The following is a 22,738-nucleotide window of genomic DNA, read 5'->3' on the forward strand; positions in this document are numbered from 1 at the left end:
TGATCTGCTCGCCTCAGCCTCCCAAAGTGCTGGAATTACAGGCAGGAGCCACCACGCCCGGCTGTTTTTATGACTTATTTCTAAAAGCATTTAAACTGACACAGATGGGTCTTACAGGCCTATCCGAGAATACATTGTTCGAATGCCAGAAAGAACATTTCAGAGAGTTACAAAACCCTAGATCAGATTCAGGATGCACTGCAGAGTCTAACTTTTAAGTCTTTAGGGAGAGGGCATCCATGTTGCGGGTCCTCAAGCCACTTGGTTGATCCTGTTGTTTCTTATTTTGGCTGGTTTGTGTGCATATGTGTGTGTGTACATGTGTGTACACACACGTTCATAGACACAATGGTGCTCTTTAAAAGGGATGGAGCAAAGAAAAGATGGGGATTGGGGGATCCGCCTGAGGTACCTATTGGTAAATGTACGCATCGTTTCTATTGGGTTCCTATTGGTAACTCTAGTCAAGGATGAGTAACTTACCTGGAATCCTACAACTAGCAAGTGTCAGACCCGGGATGACAAAAGCAGGTATGTGGCTCCAGAGGCTATGCAGTTAGCCACTACACCTCCTTGGTGGAAGCAGAGACTGAGCTAGGTTGAGGTACATGATTTATTGACGATGTGCGTTCAGTAGGAAAAAAGCTACTAAGAAGAAGAGGTCAGGGCAGGAGCTAAGCAAGGATGTGGCCTCTGCTGTAGTCTAGTTCTAGCTCAATCTTAGCAAAAGCTCTGGAGTAAGAATTGCATCAAATAATTGGTCCAGCTGGGAGAGGACTCTTACCCCGAAGTAGTCCTGTGTTAAACAGTCAGTCAACAGGCTACATTCTGGGCAGGGGGGTGCTGTGACCTCCTTGGCAAGTGGCTCTAGCTGGCCAAGAAGAGGTAACATGGAGCCCTTAGCAGTCAGCACAGCAACTGGGGGATGAATGGAATGGCCTGGAACAGAGGATTTGGATGCAGCACCAACACAGTCCACTAGAGCTTCCATAAATATACACAATTTCCTTTGTCTGGAAGCCCCTTATCCAACTTTCCACTCACACGCGCAGTCTCATACATCTGCTTTATGACTCTTATCTTCCACAGTCCTGTGAGCTCTTGGAGGATAGGGGCTGTATATTATTTCTCTTAACATCAGCATCCCAGAACTGCCTACTCTCTGTGTCTCTCCCCTGGCCAGGCACCCAGCAGATGCCTGGCATGGAATAGAGGCTTCAATAAATGTTTGTGGGATGCATGAATGGAGAAATGAATGGATTTCATGAATCCACACGCTGCTAATTTGGAATTTGTGATACTTTGGAGACAGGATATTTATTGAGTAAAAGATTGGAAAAAATACTCTAACTTGGGCTTTTACTACTTCTGTAGTTCATTACTAAGGAATGCAAGCCTCTAGTCCTCCTTCCCCCAACCCATAACTTTCCACATTTTATAATATGTAGAATAATTACAACTCAAGAAACTGCATTTCTTTTAAAGTTTGGCTAACCTCTGCTATTTATTTCTTCATTTCTTTTAAAGGTTGGCTAACCTCTGCTATAATTAGACCTCTTAGTTAAGTTAGAAGAAATTTCTTCACTATCCTGTCCTTGATTCTAGAGAAGATCACAACACTTGGTTAATAAGAATTTCACTTTTAGTGTCATACTTGAGGATGAATTGTAGAACACGATTGGAAAATAACTTGGTTCTTTCAAAATGCAAGAAGAAAAAAGCAAAAACAGTCAGTGATTGAACTTGTCTCCCATTGGACGATGGCTTTAGTGTTTCTCAAAGAGTCATCCCTGGGCAGCAGCAGCATCGCCACCCAACTTGTTAGAAATGTACACTGTCAGGCCTTACCCTAGACCCACTGAATCAGGAATTCTGAAAGAGGGCCCAGGAAACTGTGTTCTAGCAAGCCCTCCAAATGATTCTGATGCTGTCCAAGCTTGAGAGCCACCGGCCTAAGAGTTGAGTCAAGCACACCTCATGTGGATTCCTATCAGCCTCTTTGCAGCCTATGAATAATCTCCTTAACACTCACTCCCTCTATTTGTAAAATGTGGAAAAAAATGGTGTTGCTATGTGAATTTATGAGTCTATATATGTCAAGCTCTCAATACGGCTAGGCACAGATTGCTTCCTCTGTCATTCCTATGATTATGGCTGTATGGAAGAGAAACAGAGAATAGGGTAAATCCTAGCATTTTCTCCATGATTGGCTTGGGAGGCCAGAGTAGGGGAGTGATGAGGAAGTCTGAGAATAAGAGGAGAAAGTTGGAGTCTACAATCCAGGATAGAGAAAGGAGACATTCCTGGGCATCCCAGAGAACACATTTGTCTGACAAATGTAAACTGAGATGTACTATGAATCCTTCATGGGGCTAAGGACTAGAGATTAGATGTGAATGAGATGACCATGGTCCCCACCCCTCAGAGGGACTTACAGTGTAGTGGGTGGGGTGGAAATTGTGTTCGCTGATACCGGCATCCCATAGAAGGTTGTCATGGGTGGAGCGCCCAAGCTATTTCTTTGCAGGGAGTAGATCTATAGGTACCAATGAACAAATATCCAAGCCAGAAGGTCTCTATGGGTAGGTTGGAGTGGATGTGGAGTGGTCTGAAGGCTCCCATGGCCTTTCCTTGCTGGGGTCTTCAGGATGACTTGATAAAAAAAATTCTCCCTCTCTCTCCCTCTCTAGTGGCACTACATACTCCTCTCCCTAATAGTTCTCCATTCCTTCATTCCAGCTGCTCCCCTAAGCCCTAGGCTCAGAGGGCCCGTTCCAAATCATCATGAATATGCTGAAATTCAGGACCTCAGAGGAGAAGGGACACTGATAATAATGGTGATGAGAAGAACAACGGTAGCTCCTGCCCGTGGAGCGGCGCTTCCTGTAGTCCCGATGTGAGCTATGCATTTATATGTTGCATCTTACTTACTTCTAATCACAATTCCAGCAGGTAAACAGTGCTGCTTTTTTTTTTCTGTTTCACAGATGAGAAAACAGAGGCTTCAAAAGATGATACAACTTGCCCCAGCAACACTGCCAGTGTGTAACCCCAGACAAAGTGCTGGGGGTAAAAGCCCAAGTTTATACCCAGGAAACTGAGCCCAGAGCAACACAGGGCAGGGGTTTTCTCAAAGATTCACGGCTACCAAGGAGAATAAGAAGGAGTGAAGCCGCTATCTCCTGGTGCCCCCATCCAAGAGCCCCGCAAAACACGTACTTTCGTTTACGGCAAACCAAATGCAGCAACAGTTTAGTGGCAGATGGTTAACGCCCCTTCAAAAAATAGAAAAAGATTATTAAAGCTACTGGTAACATTGCCTGAAAAGTCTTGGAATTGAAAATTCATTTTAGCCGATTTGCACAATCACCCCGGCCGTGTTTATATAGAAAACGTATGGCACACGCTTTGATTACCACGGCTAATAAATCCATGCAGCCTTCCCTCTTCTCTGCAATATAAATCCTTTTCCTCCCTGGCTATTTAATATGCAAGGCAGATTGGAACATTAGCGGTGGAAGAGGGTAAATAATCTGGTAATTGATCTGGGATTTGTGGATTTTTACCTCAAATTTCTGCATACGGTTGAAGGTCGTAAGCTATACAAACCTCTATTGATCAGAGTTCTTTGTTTAAATGGAACCTACTGTATTTATTTGTGTTGCTCTTCCAAAGTCAAACAAAAAGGGCACTGATCTAGCTAAACCCCGGCATGGCACCGTGGACATGTGGTCCATTCACTCGGTGTACAGATGTTTTCAATCTGCACACTTTGTCTTTCATATCCATGTGAGATGAAACAGCCTTCATTTAGCCCGGGAGACACGCCAGCAAGAGAAGATACATACTTAACCCTTCACAGACACATTTCCCTGCTCCCTTTGGACACTGAGATGTGATTCTGGGGAAGCAGAGTGTTTCCCTAGAGATTCAACCTGGTGCTCTCAGTGTTGCTCTGTCCCTAGTTGCTCTGGGTATCCAGAAAATAGTAATAATAATAATAAATAATCCCTTCCACTCCCGTCTTTGCCCCCCAGCCTCTACCTCCCTATCTTTGGCAGTTCTTCAAAGCTGTAGACCTCTTGTGAAAGAGATTTAAGGTGGGGAATGGTATTCTCGGCTGTCTCTGGGCATTTCAAACAATCCTGCATAGATGATGACAGAGATTTACTAAGGGTCGGTTTGGCCAGTGCCTGGGTCCTTAGAATGCAGGCGAGTTGCTATTACTAGGCCCCTTTCCTAGGGTGGACTTTACTCTCTCCCATTTCTGTTTCTTTAACAGCAACTTAGCCAGGGTTTCTCAACCTTGGCACTCTTGACATTTGGGGGAGGATAGTTCTTTGTGGTATGTGTGTGTGCTGGGGCCAGGGGCTGACCTATGTGTTGAAGGATGTGGAGCAGCATCTCTGGCCTCTACAAACTAGACATCAGGAGCACTGCCCACCTGAGTTATGATGACCAAAACTCCCTGGGTTGAGAACCCAGTTTCCCCCAGTTTAGAACCCTTGCCTTTTAGGGATTGCTTGTGGTATTATAAAGATCATGAGCTTCAGAGCAGACGGACGCCCTCCCACTCCTTGTCCGGCCTCCTGCGTGCTGCTTGACCTTGGCAACCTCTTCTCTCTATTACAGCTTCCCCATCAATGAGGTGCCTATTAGAAGTCCCAGCTTCCACGGCTGTGTGCTGTGGACCCAACACAAAGCGCTGTGGTCAGCACCTTAGCCCAAGCCTGGTTTGGAGGGGCGCCGGTGCATGTCCCTTAGCACCAGACCTGGAAATAAGTTCAAAGGGAGCACACAGGACTTGCTGAGGGAAGGCAATGGATGCAAGAATGTGAGATCCACTCCCTTTAAGGCCTCATCAGCTTTTGAACACCCTGTGCCAATAGTAGCAGCTCTGGGTTTCTGGACGGAGCTGTGTGGCTTGGCAATTGGAATCGGGATGGATTCGCTTTTTCCTTCCACCCCGGGCTTTGTGACCCTCCCTTCTTAGAGCTGGAGCTGAAGGCTGGCTGCTCCCAAATGCTTATCCATTGCTCTGAGTAGTTGAATGTGTTAAATACATTGAAGTCCTTCATAAAATAGGGTTATTCTCAGCTTGGCTGACACATTCTCCTGGCTGTTACATCTTTGGAAATTACGTATCAGGACCTGGCTATAATGTGAGTGGCTTTATCTGCAGACATACTGAGGTTGAAATCTCAGCTTAGCCACTTTCTAATTGCTGAGTGTTCTTGGGCAAGTTGATTTAACTTTGTGGGTTTGCCAATCCCCACTGGCAAATGGGTCTTGATAATGACCTCAAAATATAGCTTTGAAAATAAATAGGGTGTCATATTGGGAGTTTCTCAGTGTGTGTGTGTGGTACATTCTTGGCATTACCAAACAATACTGCTATTATTGCTATTATTATTAATTATTAAAGTGTTCTTTACTGGTTGTCTAATTGACATAAAAATTCAAAATCACATGAAGCCTACGATTCAAACATAAGTGTTTTATGATATTCACTAGTAGATCTGTGTGATATCCAGACAGTTTTCTTTTCACTTTTCATTATAATATTTTGTGATACAGCTTCAGTCATAATGTTTGGGGAGGATTATTTCCATCTCTTTCAAACTCTGATTTTCAAAGCTAAAAAGGTATTTCTAAACATAGCAAAATGGGACTTGTACGAAATGGAAAATAGACTCAGCAAATTAAGGCTAGGGTCTTTATCTGCAGAAGCACACAACTTAAGATCCTGGGTCTAGTGAAAGTCACCGTGACCTTTATATAAACATAGCATTTTACAGCTTACAACTTGATCTCACATACATTTTATCACTAGATGCCCCATTTATTCGAAGGCATGAATACCCCCACCTGGTCACACTTTTCGAGTAGAAATGAGACTCTGGGGTTTTTGACACCACGTTTAGTTCTCCCTCCAGCCTGTGCATTTATCAGCCTGACGGTGGACAAGCATTTTGTCCTGGGGAGGGTAGGTCTATATTTTCTCCCTTTTTCCATGGGTCCTTAACCAAATATTTTACAGGGTGTAAGAAGAGATCATCAGCAACTGAGAGTATCTTATGGAGAAAGGAGAAATAAAATCAATAAAATCAAGACACACGCACACACAAACACACACACACAATTATTCTCCAAGCTTTCCTGCTTTTTTCCCATTTTTCTCCACTCCCCATGCTCCCCCGGCCCCCATCAACACTCCCCACAAATATATCATATTCCTTGTACTTTTCTTGAGTTCATGTTTACCGATTTTCACTGAATAAAACAGTTTGCCTTTGGGCCATTTGGTCTAGGAAACTTCTCTCTTGAAATATGTATTTTGAGACATATACAATTATATATGTAATCTACATGTAAGTCATGAAACTGTATATAAACAACTTGGAAAACAATGTCTCAAGAACCATAAACCAGTATCGGTGAAACTTCTTTCCCAAGTCCTTTCTCTTTTCCTCATCAAGTTAAACTACCTTAAACTTTATGTTTACCATTCTCTGGCTTTTCTTAAAAGTTGTATTTTTCAGGTAGATATCACTGAACTGTAGGTGTATGTGTGTGGCTTGTTTTTAACTTGGTAAAAATGTCACCATATCTTATATTATCTGGCATCACTCAATTTTTCCTCTCTGCATTAGATTTCTAGGTTTAATTCATGTTGGTGCATGTACCTGTATGTGGTTCATTTATTTTCCCTGCTAGGTACTGTTCTATTCCATTTATTCATTGTCCTGTTGTTAGATATAGGGGCCATTTCTAGTTGCCTGGTTTTCGTGTATTTGTTTGTTTTCAAATATTAGCGTGGTCCAAACATAATGGCGGTTTTTGCCATTGAAAGTAACAGCAAAAACCACCATTATATTTGCACCAACTTAATACAACTATATGATATTCTTGTACATGTTTTTCAACAGATGTGAATAAGAGTTTTTCTACAGTACATATCTAGGAGTTGAACTGAAGACGGGTCGAGCGACCGTAGATCTACTCCCATGACAAACCTTCTGATTTTTAAAATATTTTTATTAGTTTGCTCCAAAGAAGACACCTTGTTTCTTTTTGCTGAGTGCTTTTTTTTCTCCCCAAAGTGCGAGTTTCCACTTCCTGACTTCCCCCAAAACGGCTATTCAGCCAGGGTTCCCTCTCTTCTTCGTTTGCACACACTGCTGTAGTTTTAGAAGAAGCCCTTTGGTTTGAATCCTGGCTCTGCCATTTACCAGTAATGACTTTGGACAAATCCTGTGTCTCTTGTTTGACTCACAGGGTTGCATTGAGGATCTTGCTCTTTTAGAGTTGAAAGTAGGAGAAAGTTCTCTTCATTTTTTTCCCAAACGTCAACCTACTCTACCTCTCCCTGCACACACACACACACACACACACACACACAAATTCAATAAAAGCTGGTTGTGATTTAGGATTTATCATGAATCACGAGCAAATTGAGGTTGGTACATGCGGCAGTAGCATCTTAAATCTTAAACCCCCTTTCATTTTTTAGTGGAATGGACAAATTATACCTGTTTTAAAATGCGGTGGAAAGTCAACTATTTTTCTCAATCCAGAAAGAATCTTGAGCCCTGCCTCAAGGCAGGAGGAGACAGGCTGAAACCATCTATGGTGCTTTTTGTTCTGTGACATATCAAGGCTTCCTGTAGGGCTCCCGGGAGCCCTGCTCTCCAGGGTGGGAGGAACTTGGCTAGCTTCTGTCTTGGATCTCCACATTTAGCATATCATACTCTGACCCAAAGCCTCAGCCCCTTCATCTGTCAAATGGACATTACAGCAGGTAACTATTAAAAACACAACAGTCATTGCAACTAATTACAGCTTTTACTCCTGTTTTGGAGATCCAAGATGAAAGACACTTCGTGAAGGTGGAATATTGTGACAGGGGAAAAAAGCGATTGATTAAACAATCTTACGCATAATCAAACACAAAGTGTTCTTCAGTTGCTGAGAGGGTGGTTGGTCCTAGGTGTTATTATGTCTTGGAGGCCCCAAGATCTATTTCACATGTACCAAAGATGTTAGAACCCAAAGATCTATTTCACATGTACACCACATCCTATAGTTTAAGTAAAACCATCCCACACTCTTACTTTCCAAACTCAGTGAAAACCTATCCAGTCAATTCGCATAATATAGTAGCAGGTAACGTTACTAATAGAAATATAAAGTATCCATTTGAAGCCTGGAGGCCACCTCTGTGTGCTGAGGTTCAAGAGCATCTTTCATCTCTCCTTACTCAACTCATCACACCCAAGGTTCTCTGAGCTCACCCCCTGCTCTGTAAAATGAGGACAATACCAGCACCTAGCCCACAGGCCTTTTGTAGGAGAGCATTGTGAGTTCATCAGCAGGCCTCCTGGAAAGTGGATTGAAGGCCTTGATTTGCACCCTGGCTCTTACTTATGAGCTTGCGGTTCTGAGAAACCTGCCTCATCCCTCCTACTCTCATTGTCTCATCCTCTCTACTCTCATTTTCCTCACCTGTAAAATGGAATCATAATAGTACCTAACTGTTGGAGGAGGTGCTGATGACTAAACAAGATATTACCACAATGCCTGGTATGCTTTCAGTTTTCTTTAAACAAAGGGTATTCTCAATAAATGACAAGTAACTAGCACTTTCTTGGAACACAGTTCAGCAACTTGTCCAGGGCTGTCTAGGACAGCATTTTTTCTAGGGTGGAGACAGATAGTTACAATACATATCCCTATAAATTAAACAAGCCTCTCTTTTTGTGTAAATAAAACTGGTTGAACGGATATTCTTCAAACTTGGAGGGCATGTTTAGAAGGATCTGGCTTTAAATATAGGCTAAGTAGTATGTAGGAATTCCAGGTAGTTTGTACTAAAAAAAAAATAAGCAAAATAGCTCAAACTGAGATAATAGTAGATGGTCCATGAGGCTTATTGATTAGGAAAGAAACTGATGGTATATGAAGATAAAAGAGAGAGAGAGGAGGGAATAAAACAAACAAACAAAAAAGGCAAATGGCAGATGTCCTTCTCCAGGGGCAGATATTGCTGTGAGAAGATCCTGCTTCTAACAGTGGCAACTCCATATGGCAGGCTGCATGGGCGGCATCCCACAATTTACTTATTTCATGATGATTAATGATTATTCTTAGCAGCTAGTTCAAAATAAACCCATAAGAGGACCTCTAAACACCCAAATTCCTCATTTGGGTCCTGGGTTACTTATGCTAAAAACTCAGGGAGAACAGCCCTCTGTGGAGTTGACGCAGTGAGAACCCCATCCCTCTCTTGTGGCAAATAGGACAAAATCAGAACACATGGAAAAATGACAGTGAAAATGAGGTCCACAGGTAGCGTCTCTACTCTTAAAGGAGCGCATTTGCAGTGCTCTGGAACATGGCTAATACTCCCCAGCTCCCACTTGAAGGCACACTGAGCCGAGGAAGTCCCTCTGCCTTCAACCTGCCCCATGATTCTTACAGTAGAACCATGAGGCAGGCAGTGCTAGTGCTGCTTTATTCTCCCCACTTGACAAACATGGAAACTGAGGCTTGAGGAGGCCAGGGGCCTTTCCTGGGGTCACAGGAGGACTACAGTGGCCCAATCTATGCCTTGTGACTTCAGAGGATGTTTCATTTCAGGAGTTTGGCAGTTGGACATGCCTGGAGCATTTGAGACCTGGAAGAATATGGGAATCCAGAAATGGGGGTTCAGTGGAGGGGAGGCCAAAAGGGAGCAGGGGCTCGAGTCATCTATTCTTGTGGCAAGGAGCAGGTGGCGGGATTTCCTTTCATCTCCCTTCCTCTTTCTTGCAGCTGCAGCTCTCAGACCCCAGTCATTTCTGTCTTTGAGTGATTGCTATGGGTGCTACATAGGAACAAAGAACACTTTTGAAAGAGTTTGCAAGTCTAGGGTGAGTCTCCAAGGCCAGGCCCCAGAAGCAGAGAAACAGGCCAGAACCTCAGTGCCTGGCCTTTGGTGGGCATTTGCTGGCCCATGGGGCATCAGTGCAGCAGGAAGGAGGTCGGATCTTGTCACCCGTGATGGGTGACCAGGCAGCAAGATCCCAGACAGCAGGACCCTTTCCGTGCCTTGCTTTGTATCCGCACCGAGGAGCTGCGTTGCTTGACAGTTAGTACGTGCATTTCCTTTTCTCCACAGCTGTCAAATCAAATTGATTTTCAGTCATTCTAATCTGGGTAGGATCAGCAAACCAGATCCCCTAGGTGAAAAGCTAGTTTATCAAAGAAATCATTTATCCAATTCTTCTGCGATACGAACGGAATCTTTGAGTGGCTTTCAGAAAATGAATAACCAATTTCAAAGGGTGTTCATAACAATAATAATAATTACCTTTTATGAAGCATCTTTGCTGTGTTTCTTTATATCCCTTTTCTATTTCTCCAGTAATCCTTTGAGGTAGATAATAGCTCAATTCGGGAGTACTTACTTCTTGTGCATTCTCTCGTGACATCCTAACAACTCCACGTTGTATGTATTATGATCCCAATTATTTAGCAAATGAAATGGAAGCTCCAACAATCACATGTAACTTGCCCAAAGTCACACAGGCAATGACAGAGCTGGAGTTCTGACTCAGCAACCAGTGTCTCCAAACCCAAACTCTTCCTGCCTGCCCCTTCCACCAATCACAGCTCTCCTGCTGCCTAAGTCCTTTCTGCCTCATCACCCTACCATATTTGCCTTTGAATTCTGACTCAGGACTTGGGGTAGCAGGCATAATCTGCGCTCTCTTTTGAAACAGAGACTTTGTAAAGGTATTGAGAGAAAGAAGAACGAACTAACGCCTCCCCCCACCGCAACCCCACAGTAAACAATAAAGTTTATATCATCCATTCTATTTTTTTTTTCTTTTGTCACCCAGGCTGGAGTGCAGTGGCATACTCATGGCTCACTGCAGTCTTGCCTCCTGGGCTGAAATGATCCATCCGCCTCAGCCTACCAAGCAGCTGGGACTACAGACATGTGCGACCATGCCCTGCTAATTATTGTATTTTTTATAGAGATGGGGTCTTGCCATGTTGCTCAGGCTGGTCTTGAACTCATGACTTCAAGTGATCCTCCTGCTTTGGCCTCCTAAACTGTTGGGATTACAAGCATGAGCCACTGCAGCTGGCTATGTCAGCCATTCTTCAGTCCAGTTCTGCAAATTGTAGCCTGGTGCCCTCGGCTGGATCATTACTATCTGGCAGGCACAGTTTCTGCATCGGTGCAGAGAGAAGCTGCATAGATAGAAATGAAAATAGAAATTTTATTCCCTAGATAGTTGTCAGTGTTAAACAGGATAATGCATGTGCGTGGCTAGCCTAGACCCCTGGGATGCAGTTGGACCTCAATTAATGTTTCTGTAGCATTCAATTCACCAAGAGGCTTGTTTTCAGCTGAGGCCTGAGTTTGCACCCAGGAGACACTGGGCCATGCATGGAGACATTTTTGTTTGTCACCCCATTTTTGTTTGCCAAGTGTTTTTGGCATCTAGTGGGTCGAGGCCAGGGGTGCTGCTCAATATCCTACAATGCATGAGACGGACCCCACCACGAATAATTATGTAGCCCCAAATAGCAGCAGTGCCAAGGTTGAGAAATGAAACTATGAAGTGACTGAAAGGTCTACCCTCCCTTAACGTGGACTTTGGGAAAATTCCCTGACCTCTTCTGGCCTTTGCTTTCTCATCCTGTCAATGGGAGCTTTGCACTTGCTGGTCATGGGGACCCACCCAGGTGCATCATTACCAGCTTCTGGAATGTTGCTCCTCCCACTGCTGGTGCGGGCTCCTGTAGCCACCGTGGAGGGTATAAGCATCAGAAATGGCAGCCCCTTGCTGCCTGTGATCTGTGTCTTTTGCCTTCCTGAGGTGGGAGGGTTCAGAAAGCCCAACCCATCCCCACCCTTCCAGGACATTCTTTCTTGGCCCTGCGCTGGCATGGCTGTCGGGATCGACAGTCCCTCACCCGAGGGCCTTGCATGAATCCAGACACACCTTGGCTCCATTGCCCGAGGCCTGGCAGTGGATCAAAGAGCTCTGGTTGGAACATTTGGCAGCAGGAGGGAGATCAGCAAAATGGTCCTGCACTGGGTGCAGCATAAGCACAGCCTCCCAGGTAGCTGCTGTCTGTGGCCTCTGCAGCTTCTCTCTCTGTCAGAGCCTGGCCTTCTCTGGACCCTTCTCCCGGGACACTAGCACCTCTCCTCCCACGCTTCTGTGTCCACCCTCCCCCCTATATCCCTAGATCCTGGTGATGTAGAATTGTGAATGGATCTCAGTACACCACAGGAGTGTGCAGTGTGACCTGTGCATAGTCCAACTTCTCTGCTTCCTTCCCTGAAGGAAAAATAACAGCCGCAACAGCTCCCGTTGTAACCAGCACCTGGGTGTCAGGCTCTGAGCTGTGTACTTCACGTGCATTGTCTCATCTCATCCTCACCGCAACCCTCTAAAGTAGATTCCATTATTATTCCCATGTTGCAGTCATTTAATAACTATGTGTTAGGCAACCATTTAAGCCCTTTATATCATGTGAGTTTTCATTTGCTCATTTGGTCCTCACAGCATCTCTGTGGGATAAGTACTAGTCTCACTTCCATTTTACAACCAGGAAAACGGAGGTACAAATAAGTGAGTGTGTAATGGATCTGAGATTCAGACCTAGATCATCTGCTTCCAGAGTCAAAGCCCTTAATCACTGTGCATACTGTCTCCAGAATAAACAAAAGCAGATTCAGAGAGGTTAATCAACTTGCCCAAGATCACAAAGTCAAGATATGTTAGAAAGACTAGTAGGACCCAGGTCAGTCTGTCTAGAGCCTATTTATTTTCCCACAGTACTACTTGATGTGTGTGTGTGTGTGTGTGTGTGTGTGTGTGTGTGTGTGTAGTTCATCTCTTTCTTTATATATTTATTTTTTGAGATAGAAGTGACTTTAAAAACACATGTGCCTATCTACGATAATTTCATTAATCATAACTAAATAAAACAAACTGATAGGAACAATTCATGGTTGACTCTACAATATGTGGACTACTATAAGAACTGGAAATTAACTAATGTCCTTGATTGTCCTTAACAGATTTAATGAGGAAGGCTAATTACATGAAAATACTCTTATTTCCAGTTTTAGAAACTCGTCAAAGCAGGGAGGGCTTCCATTCTGATGAATAGATTGAAGCTCAGAAAATGTAAGGACCAAGGACCTGAACTAAGACAAGTCCTCACTGAGTTTCGTCTAACCCAGAGGCTGTGTTCTATAGGTTAGCTGATCCTGCCTATTGCGCGGATCCTGAAATATGAGACAAAGCTTCGAGCTAGGGTACAGAGGTGTCCGGGAGCAGGTAGCCCAGGCAGAAGAAAGAACAAATGATGACAGGTGGTATCACCTCTCAGCTGGCCCCAAATCCCTGTCTGGTAAGGTCTGGAAGCTTTCACAGTGCTGCATTCTTCACTGAGGCTCACAGGGCTTAATGTAATTGCAAAATATCCTAAAAAACAACATTTTATCATTTTCCTCCAGAGCTTCTCGCCTTGTAAATAGCGTGTTGGCACATGTTGAAGCCCAGCCACACAGCTCTGTCTCCGGCTTCTGCAAAGTGGCGTGAGGCCTGCTGTTGGTGTGCAGGGGAGTGCAGGCCAACCACGCCCCAGGAATGGGAAACCTCCTTTCGCTCCCAGGAGAGGCTGTGGCAGAGCCAGAGCTAGACTGTGCCTTTACAAGGCATTTGCTTCTTATGAACCTGCTCCAAAATCACTGATGAGCTCACAGAAGAGAAGCCATAAATCAGCAGGCTGGGGCTGGGTCCTTTGCTCACAGTAGGCAGAGGATGCAGTGTGGACCTCCCTCCAAAGGCCCTTTCACCACCAACTTATCCTGCCTTCCCACCTTCCCGCTGGTCCTGCAGCAGCCCAGCTCCCCAGCTCCTGGAGGCCTGGCGGCTGTCTGCCATTCACACGGTTGAGCTGCCCCAGACCTGCCCGTGTGGGCCCCACCTTGCCACTCCCACTTGTCTGCTCCCAGGACAGCAATTGTGCAAGAAGCCCCACACGTGAGCGGGCATCAGGGCGACAGCCAAAGAGCCTCTCTGTGGTGATGCTGGGGCGGAGAGGCTACCTGGCAGCCACTGGAGCGCAGTGACATGGGCATGAAACCTGAGCACCTAGCTCATCAGATGACAGAAAGCCTCGGGTGAGAAGAGACCTCCGTGGGATGCAGTGATGCCACATTAGAGGCCTGCTAGGTACCCAGAAGAGTCACTTTATGTGGATATAGACCCTGAGCACGACTGCACCCACTTGGTCAGCTGTCCAGGCCATGGTCCCTCTGAGGCAAGTCTCAACTTTTCTCCACGTGCCAAAAGAAAACCGTATCTGACAGCTGAAGAAATGGAAAGTGGTGTAGCTTTGACTGAAGCTTTCCTGGGGAAACGGAAGAGGGGGTTACATCAAACCCCACAGGGTTTCTGGAAGTCTCTTGTAAACATCCTTGACCCCACTCCTCCTACAGCTGCTGCTTCCTCCCTTTGGTGTACCCCAACCACCTCGTCTGCAGTCTCTCCTTTCACCTGGTTCTGTGTCCCTCTCAGCTGCCCCTCAAAAACCCTTCAACTTCCACATCTCACTCTGCAAAGCGAGAGTGGTGACGCTTGGCAACATAGAAGTCTAGTTAGCAAACTACAGATCAAAAGCAAGTCTGGGAAGCCTTATGCCACCCATTAATATAACCTTTGTTTTTTAACTTGTTAATTTAAAAAGTATTTTATGTTTTACTCAAACAAAAAGTGATAGACCCCCATATACTGGCCAATCTGATCTGACCGATGTTAACATTTTCCCCTGTCTTTTCTGTGGATGTACCATTCTTTTTTTTTTTTTTTCTTTTTTTTTTTTTGACACGGAGTCTCACTGTGTCACTCAGGCTGGAGTGCAGTGGCGCGATCTCGGCTCACTGCAAGCTCCGCCTCCTGGGTTCACGCCATTCTCCTGCCTCAGCCTCCCGAGTAGCTGGATATCCCATTCTTTCTCTCTCTCCCTGATCCTCTTCTCTTTCTCTCTCTAAAATATATTATATAGAAGGTAAAGCCCCAAAGACCATTTCTATTTTATTTTCTCCACGTCTAGAAACATCCCTTTCCATGTTTGGTGTCGTTTGGTCTGAATCCAGGATGGCACCGTGTTTATGAGCACAGACTTGGAAGCCAGCCTGGCTCTCAGCTCCAACTCTGTAACAACTAGCTGAGTAACCTGGAAGAAGTTGCTTAACTTTGCTCTGTCTCAGTCAAATAAAAAAGGGGATAGTAAATCAACTGTATGTGCAATCATCAAATGTTGATACATTTAAAGTGTCTGGAGCAGAGCCTGGAAAAAAATAAATGCTTAATATTTATTAACTGTTATTATGATCCATGAAAAATAAATAGAATGGCTATTTGGTGTGTTTTTAAGTTTCATCTAAATTATTTCATGGCATTACACCTACACACCTACACACCTACACACACACACACACACACACACACACACACTTTGCGACTTGCTCTTCTCACGCATTTACATTATGTTCAGGTCTCTCTATTTGGATGCATGTAATGCATTCATTTTTCTTGCCATAGAGTGGAATATTATTGTTGTTTTAATTTACATTTCCCTGATTACTTATTCTAAAATTTACTTGGAAAAGTAAAGAGCCCAAGCAATTTTAAAGAGGAGAAAGAAAGAAAGGAGACTTGCTCTATTATAATGATACTAAGACTTATACATTTAAGCAGTGCTGTCCAACAGAGCTTTCTACAATCATGGAGATGGTCTCTAGCTATGCTACTCTAATATGGTAGCCTTGGGTCACATGTGGCTACTGAGCACTTGAAATATAGCTAGACTGACTGAGGAAGTTAATTTTTACTTTAATTGAACTTAAATAGCTACATGTCATTGTGACCCATGTGGTGACCCATCACCAGACAGCACAGGTTTAGAGTATCAAAACATTGTGATGAAGTCGCAGAGACCAGCAGTAGACCACAGAAACAGCAGCGAGTCTAGAGACAGACCTCAGTGTTTGGTGTTAAGTCCTAGAAGGCATTGTAAGACAACAAGGAAAATGGTGGGAATATTTTTATCCAATGTTTGGGTTTTCTATTCTTTGAATTTCATTTGTCATTGAACTACTCCCTCTTCCTCCTCCCATTGTTTAGTGTGTCTTTTATTTATTAATATGTCAGAACGACTTGTATATTTGGATATAATATAAAAATTATATTTATCTTAGTTTGTGGATTTTTGTTTTATTTCTTCTAAAAAGAAAAGGGATACATGTGCAGAACATGCAGGTTTGTTACATAGTTATCCATGTGCCATGGTGGTTTGCTGCACCTATTGACCTGTCCTCTAAGTTCCCTCCCCTCATCCCCTACCTCCCAACAAGCTCCGGTGTGTGTTGTATCCCTGTCTGTTTCCATGTTCTCATTGTTCAACTCCCACTTATGAATGAGAACATGTGGTATTTGGTTTTCTTTCCATATGTTAGTTTGCTAAGGATGATGGTTTTCAGTTTCACCCACGTCCCTGCAAAGAACATGATCTCATTCCATTTTATGGCTGCATAGTATTCCATGGTGTACATGTACCACATTTTCTTTATCTAGTCTATCATTGATAGGCACTTGGGTTGGTTCCATGTCTTTGCTGTTGTAAATAGTGCTGCAATAATCATATGTGTACATGTGTCTTTATAGTAGTTGATTTATATTCCTTTGGTTTTGGGTCAAATGGTATTTCTGCTTCTATATCCTTGAGAAATCACCTTACTGTCTTCCACAATGGTTAAACTAATTTTCATTTCCACCAACAGTGTAAAAGCATTCCTCTTTCTCCACAGCCTCACCAGCATCTATTGTTTCCTGACTTTTTAATAATTACCATTCTGACTGGCTTGAGATGGTATCTCATTGTAGTTTTGATTTGCATTTCTCCTATGATGAGTGATGTTGAGTTTTTTTTCACATGTTTGTTGGCCACATAAATGTCTTCTTTGGAGAAGTGTCTGTTCATATCCTTTACCCACTTTTTGATGGGGTTGTTATTTTCTTGGAAATAATGTTGAAGTTACTTGTAAATTCTGGGTGTTAGACCTTTCTCAGATGGGTAGATGGCAAAAATTTTCTCCCATTTTGTAGGTTGCCTGTTTCACTCTGATGACAGTTTCTTTTGCTGTGCAGAAGGTTTTTAGTTTAATTAGATCCCATTTGTCATTTTTTTGCTTTTTTTTTTTTTGCAATTGCTTTTGGCATTTTTGTCATGAAGTCTTTGCCCATGCCTATGTCCTGAATGGTATTGCCTAGGTTTGTTCTAGCATTTTTATGGTTTTGGGTTTTACATTTAAGTCTTTAATTCATCTTAATTTTTATGCAAGGCATAAGGAAGGGGTCCAGTTTCAGTTTTCTGCATATGGCTAGCCAGTTTTCCAGCACCATTTACTTAATAAGAGATCCTTTCCCCATTGCTTATTTTTGTCAGGTTTGTGAAAGATCAGATGGTTGTAGATGTGTGTTGCTATTTCTGAGGTCTCTGTTCTGCTCCATTGGTCTATATGTCTGTTTTGGTACCAGTGCCATGCTGTTTTGGTTACTGTAGCCTTGTGGTATAGTTAGAAGTCAGGTAGCATGATGCCTCCAGCTTTGTCGTTTTTGCTTAGGATTCTCTTGGCTATACGGGGTCTTCTTTGATTCCATATGAAATTTAAAATAGTTTATTCTAATTCTGTGAAGAATGTCAATGGTAGTTTGATAGAAACAGCATTGAATCTTTACTTTGGGCAGTATGGCCATTTTCACAACACTGATTCTATCTATACATTAGGATGGAATGTTTCTCCATTTGTTTGTGTCCTCTCTTATTTCCTTGGGTGGTGGTTTGTAGTTCTCCTTGAAGAGGTTCTTCACATTCATTCTTAGCTGTATTCCTAGGTATTTTATTCTCTTTGTAGCAATTGTGAATGGGAGCTCATTCATGATTTGGCTCTCTGCTTGCCTATTGTTGGTGTAAAGGAATGCTTGTGATTTTTGCACACTGATTTTGTATCCTGAGACTTTGCTGAAGTTGCTTATCAGTCCAAGAAGTTTTTGGGCTGAGATGATGGGGTTTTCTAAACATAAAATCATGTCATCTGCAAACAGAGACAACTTAACTTCCTCTCTTCCTATTTGAATACGCTTTATTTCTTTCTCTTGCCTCATTGTACTGGCCAGAACCCCCAATACTATGTTGAATAGGAGTAATGAGAGAGGGGATCCTTGCCTTGTACTGGTTTTCAAAGGGAATGCTTCCAGCTTTTGCCCATTCAATATGATATTGGCTATGTGTTTGTCATAAATAGCTTTTATTATTTTGAGATATGTTCCATCAATACCTAGTTTATCAAGAGTTTTTAACATGAAGGGATGTTGAATTTTATCAAAGGCCCTTTCTGCATGTATTGAGATAATCATGTGGTTTTTGTCTTTGGTTCTGTTTATGTGCTGGATTACGTTTATTGATTTGCGTATGTTGAACGAGCCTTGCATCCCAGGGATGAAGTTGACTTGATCATGGTGAATGAGCTTTTTGATGTGCTGCTGGATTTGGTTTGCCAGTATTTTATAGAGGATTTTCACATTGTTATTCATCAGGGATATTGGCCTAAAGTTTTCTTTTTCTGTTGTGTCTCCTCCTGGTTTTGGTATCAGGATGAGGCTGGCTTCATAAAATCAGTTAGGGAGGATTCCCTCCTTTTCAATTATTTGGAATAGTTTCAGAAGGAATGGTATCAGCTTCTCTTTGTATTTCTGGTAGAATTCAGTTGTGAATCCATCTGGTCCCGGGCTTTTTTTTGGTTGGTAGGCTATTAATTACTACTTCAATTTCAGAGCTTTTTATTGGTCTATTCAGGGATTTGACTTCTTCCTGGTTTAGTCTTGGTACAGTGTATGCATCCAGGTATTTATCCATTTCTTCTAGATTCTCTAGTTTATTTGTATAGTGGTGTTTACAGTATTCTCTGATGGTAGTTTGCATTTCTGTGGGGTTAGTGGTAATATACCCTTTATCACTTTTTATTGCGTCTGTTTGATTCTTCTCTCTTCTTTATTAGTCCTGCTAACATTCTGACTATTTTATTAGTTTTTCCAAAAAACCAGTTCCTGGATTCATTGATTTTTTTGGAGGGTTTTCCATGTCTTTGTCTCCTTCAATTCTTCTCTGATCTTAGTTATTTCTTGTCTTCTGCTAGGTTTTGGATTAGTTTGCTCTCAGCTCTCTAGCTCTTTTAATTGTGATGTTAGAGTGTCTATTTGAGATCTTTCTAGCTTTCTGATGTGGGCAGTTAGTGCTATAAATTTCCCTCTTGACACTGCTTTAGCCATCTACCAGAGACTCTGTCCCAGAAATGCTGTCTCTTTGTTTTCATTGATTTCAAAGAACTTCTTGATTTCTGCCTTAATTTCACTATTTAACTAGGAGTCATTCAGGAGCAGGTCGCTCAATTTCCATGACATTGTGCGCTTTTGAGTGAGTTTCTTAATCCCGAGTTCTAATTTGATTGCACTGTGGTCTGAGAGACTGTTTTTATTTTTTCCGTTCTTTTGCATCTGCTGAGGACTGTTTCACTTCTAATTATGTGGCCTATTTTAGAATAAGTGCCATGTGGCACTGAGAATAATGTATATTCTGTTGATTTGGGGTAGAGAGTTCTGTAGACATCTACTAGGTCCACTTGATCCAGAGCTGAGTTAAAATACTGGATAGCCTTGTTAATTTTCTGTGTCATTAATCTGTCTAATACTGACAGTGAGATGTTAAAGTCTCTCACTATTATTGTGTGAGAGCCTAAGTCTCTTTGTAGGTCTCTAAGAACTTATTTTATGAATCTGGGTGCTCCTGTATTGGGTGCATGTATGTTTAGAATAGTTAGCGCTTCTTGTTGAATTGTTCCCTTTACCATTATATAATGACCTTCTTTGTCTTTTCTGATCTTTGTTGGTTTAAAGTCTATTTTGTCAGAGACTAGGATTGCAACCTATGCCTTTCTTTTTTTTTTTTTTTTTTTTTTTTTTTTTTTTTTTTTGCTTTCCATGTTTTCCTCCATCCCTTTATTTTATTTTGAGCCTGTGTGTGTCTTTGCATGTAAAATGGGTCTCCTGAATACAGCACACCAATAGGTCTTGACTCTTTATTCAATTTGCTAGTCTGTGTCTTTTAATTGGGGCATTTAACTCATTTACATTTAAGGTTAGTATTATTATGTGTGAATTTGATCCTGTCATCATGATGCTATTGGTTATTCTGCACACTAATTGATGCAGTTTCTTCACAGTGTCATTGGTCTTTAAATTTTGGTGTGTTTTTGCAGTGGCCGGTACCAGTTTTCTCTTTCCAAATTTAGTGATTCTTTCAGGAGTTCTTGAAGGGCAGGCCTGGTGGTAATGAAATCCCTCAGCATTTGCTTGTTTGGAAAGGATTTGATTTCCCCTTTGCCTATGAAGCTTAGTTTGGCTGGGTATGAAATTCTGGGTTGAAAATTCTTTTATTTAACAATGTTGAATATTGGACCCCAGTCGCTTCTGGCTCCTAGAGTTTCTGCTGAGAGGTCTTCTCTTAGTCTGATGGTCTTCCCTTTGTAGGTAACCTGGCCTTTCTCTCTGGCTGCCCTTAACAGTTTTTCCTTAATTTTGACCTTGGGGAATCTGATGATGTGTGTCTTGGGGTGGATTTTCTAGTGGAGTATCTTAATCTTGTTCTGTGTATTTCTTGAATTTGCATGTTGACCTGTCTTGCTAGATTATGGAAGTTCTCCTGGATAATATCTTGAAGAGTGTTTTCCAGCTTGTTTCCATTCTCCTCATCTCCTGCTGGTACTCCAGCTAATCGTAGGTTCAGTCTTTTAATGAAGTCACATATTTCTCAGAGGCTTTCTTCATTCCTTTTCATTCATTTTGCTTTATGCTTGTCTGTATGTCTTATTTCAATAAGGTGGTCTTCAAACTCTGATACCCTTTCTTCCGCGTGGTCAATTCAGCTGTTGATACTGATTTGGCTCTGATGAGTGGAGGAACACCAGGGTTCTTGGTCCTCATGCTGGTTTAGATAAAACAACACAGATACACATGGAGTGGTTTTAAAGAGTGGAGAGTTTAATAGACCAGAAGGAAGGGAGAAGGCAGAAGGAAGAAGCTCCCCCATACAGAGACAGAGGGGGGCCCTAAAGCTGAAAGAGGAGGTCCCCAAGTGCAGTGTACACCAGCCTCCCCATCTCTGAGTTCGGTATGCTTAACCCAATTTCAGCTGAGAGGCTGTAAGAATCTGCGCCTTCCAGGGTTAGGACACTACGCCCTGGTGGCGTGGGTTCATGCGTGGGATTTCTAGATCTGTGGATTGCACGGTTCTGTGAAAAAAGCAGCTTCCCCATCTGGGTCGCACTCTCCCTCACCGCTTCCTTTGGCTGTGGCGAGAGGGCTCCCCCTGCCCCGAGTGACTCACACGTGGGCTGCCACACCACACTGTTCTTCCTTCTGTCCATGGGTCACACTAACCTACTAGTCAATTTTGATGAGAGAACCTGGATACCTTGGTTGCTGGTGAAGGATTCACATGCTTATTGTGGTTTTTTGATGGGAGCCTCTGAGTGCCGCTGCTTCTAGTTGGCCATCTTGGCCTCACCCCAGTTTGTGGATTTTTAATTAACATTTTGTTTAGTCTCACATTTTAAAAATTGCATTTAAGGATTTTACTTGTTACACTTTATTTAAGAAATCTTTTCTCATGCCAAACCATAAGTTAGACTTCAATTTTTTAAAAAAAGTTAAAGTTTGCATTTCATATGGAGATATTTAATCCAACTGAAATTCATTATTGAATATTGAGTGAAGCAGAGATCAAAATTAATCCCTCTCCCTATTTGGAGAGTCTCTGTCCGAATGCTTTCTACTGAATCATTTGACATTTTCACTTGATGTAAAATTCCTCTTCAGCATTTTAGTTTTCCAAATAAATTTTAGAAAAAAAATGTGTCTACTCCTTTCACAAACACTTTAGTTTTGTTCAAATTTTATTATGTTTATAGAATAATTTGAAGGAATTACTATCCCAAAGGTACAATGTCTTTTGACCATGGGCATGATATATCACTGCATTGATTTAGATCTTGTTTTATGTCCTTCAATAATGTTTTATCTACTTTGACACATATCTATCATATTTTTATATTATTTTATTATTCCCAGTAGCCTAAATTTTATTTTATTGCATGGAATTTTGCTATTAAGAATATAATATCTTAAATTTACACATTCTGATTGCTACTTATTTGTATACAGAAGCATTCTCCATTTTTTAAGTTACAGACTGTAACGTGTTTGAACTCTTAATAATTGTATTATACTAAGTAGCCTATTGTCTCTTGGATTTTTACTTGTCAACAACCATTCATCTGCAAAAAATTACAGATTTTTATCTTTGTTTCCCTGTGTTGTATCTTTCATTTCTTTTTCTTGTCCTACAGAGTTGGTTAGTACCTCCAGGAAAATGTCAGCCAGAAAGTGTAATAGTAACCTTATTGCAATCCTGATTTTAATGCAACAATAATATAGTTAAACTGTCAAGAACAGACGGTTGCTCTAGGTTTTGGATAGGTACTCATTGTTAGCTTAGGAAAATTATTCTATCCTTAGATTATAAGAATTGTTCATTCATTGTTTCT

General features: G+C 42.3%; 1 annotated feature.

Annotated features, from left to right (window-relative positions):
• Nucleotides 9,979-10,098: an enhancer, noted in NCBI's record as "active region_11162". NCBI's record gives its function as "activates an Ori minimal core promoter by ATAC-STARR-seq in GM12878 lymphoblastoid cells {active_cell/tissue: GM12878}" and the evidence as "EXISTENCE:reporter gene assay evidence [ECO:0000049][PMID:35858748]".

The sequence above is a fragment of the Homo sapiens genome, chromosome 16, assembly GCF_000001405.40.
Source record: "Homo sapiens chromosome 16, GRCh38.p14 Primary Assembly".
In the NCBI taxonomy this organism is placed as follows: Eukaryota; Metazoa; Chordata; class Mammalia; order Primates; family Hominidae; genus Homo; species Homo sapiens.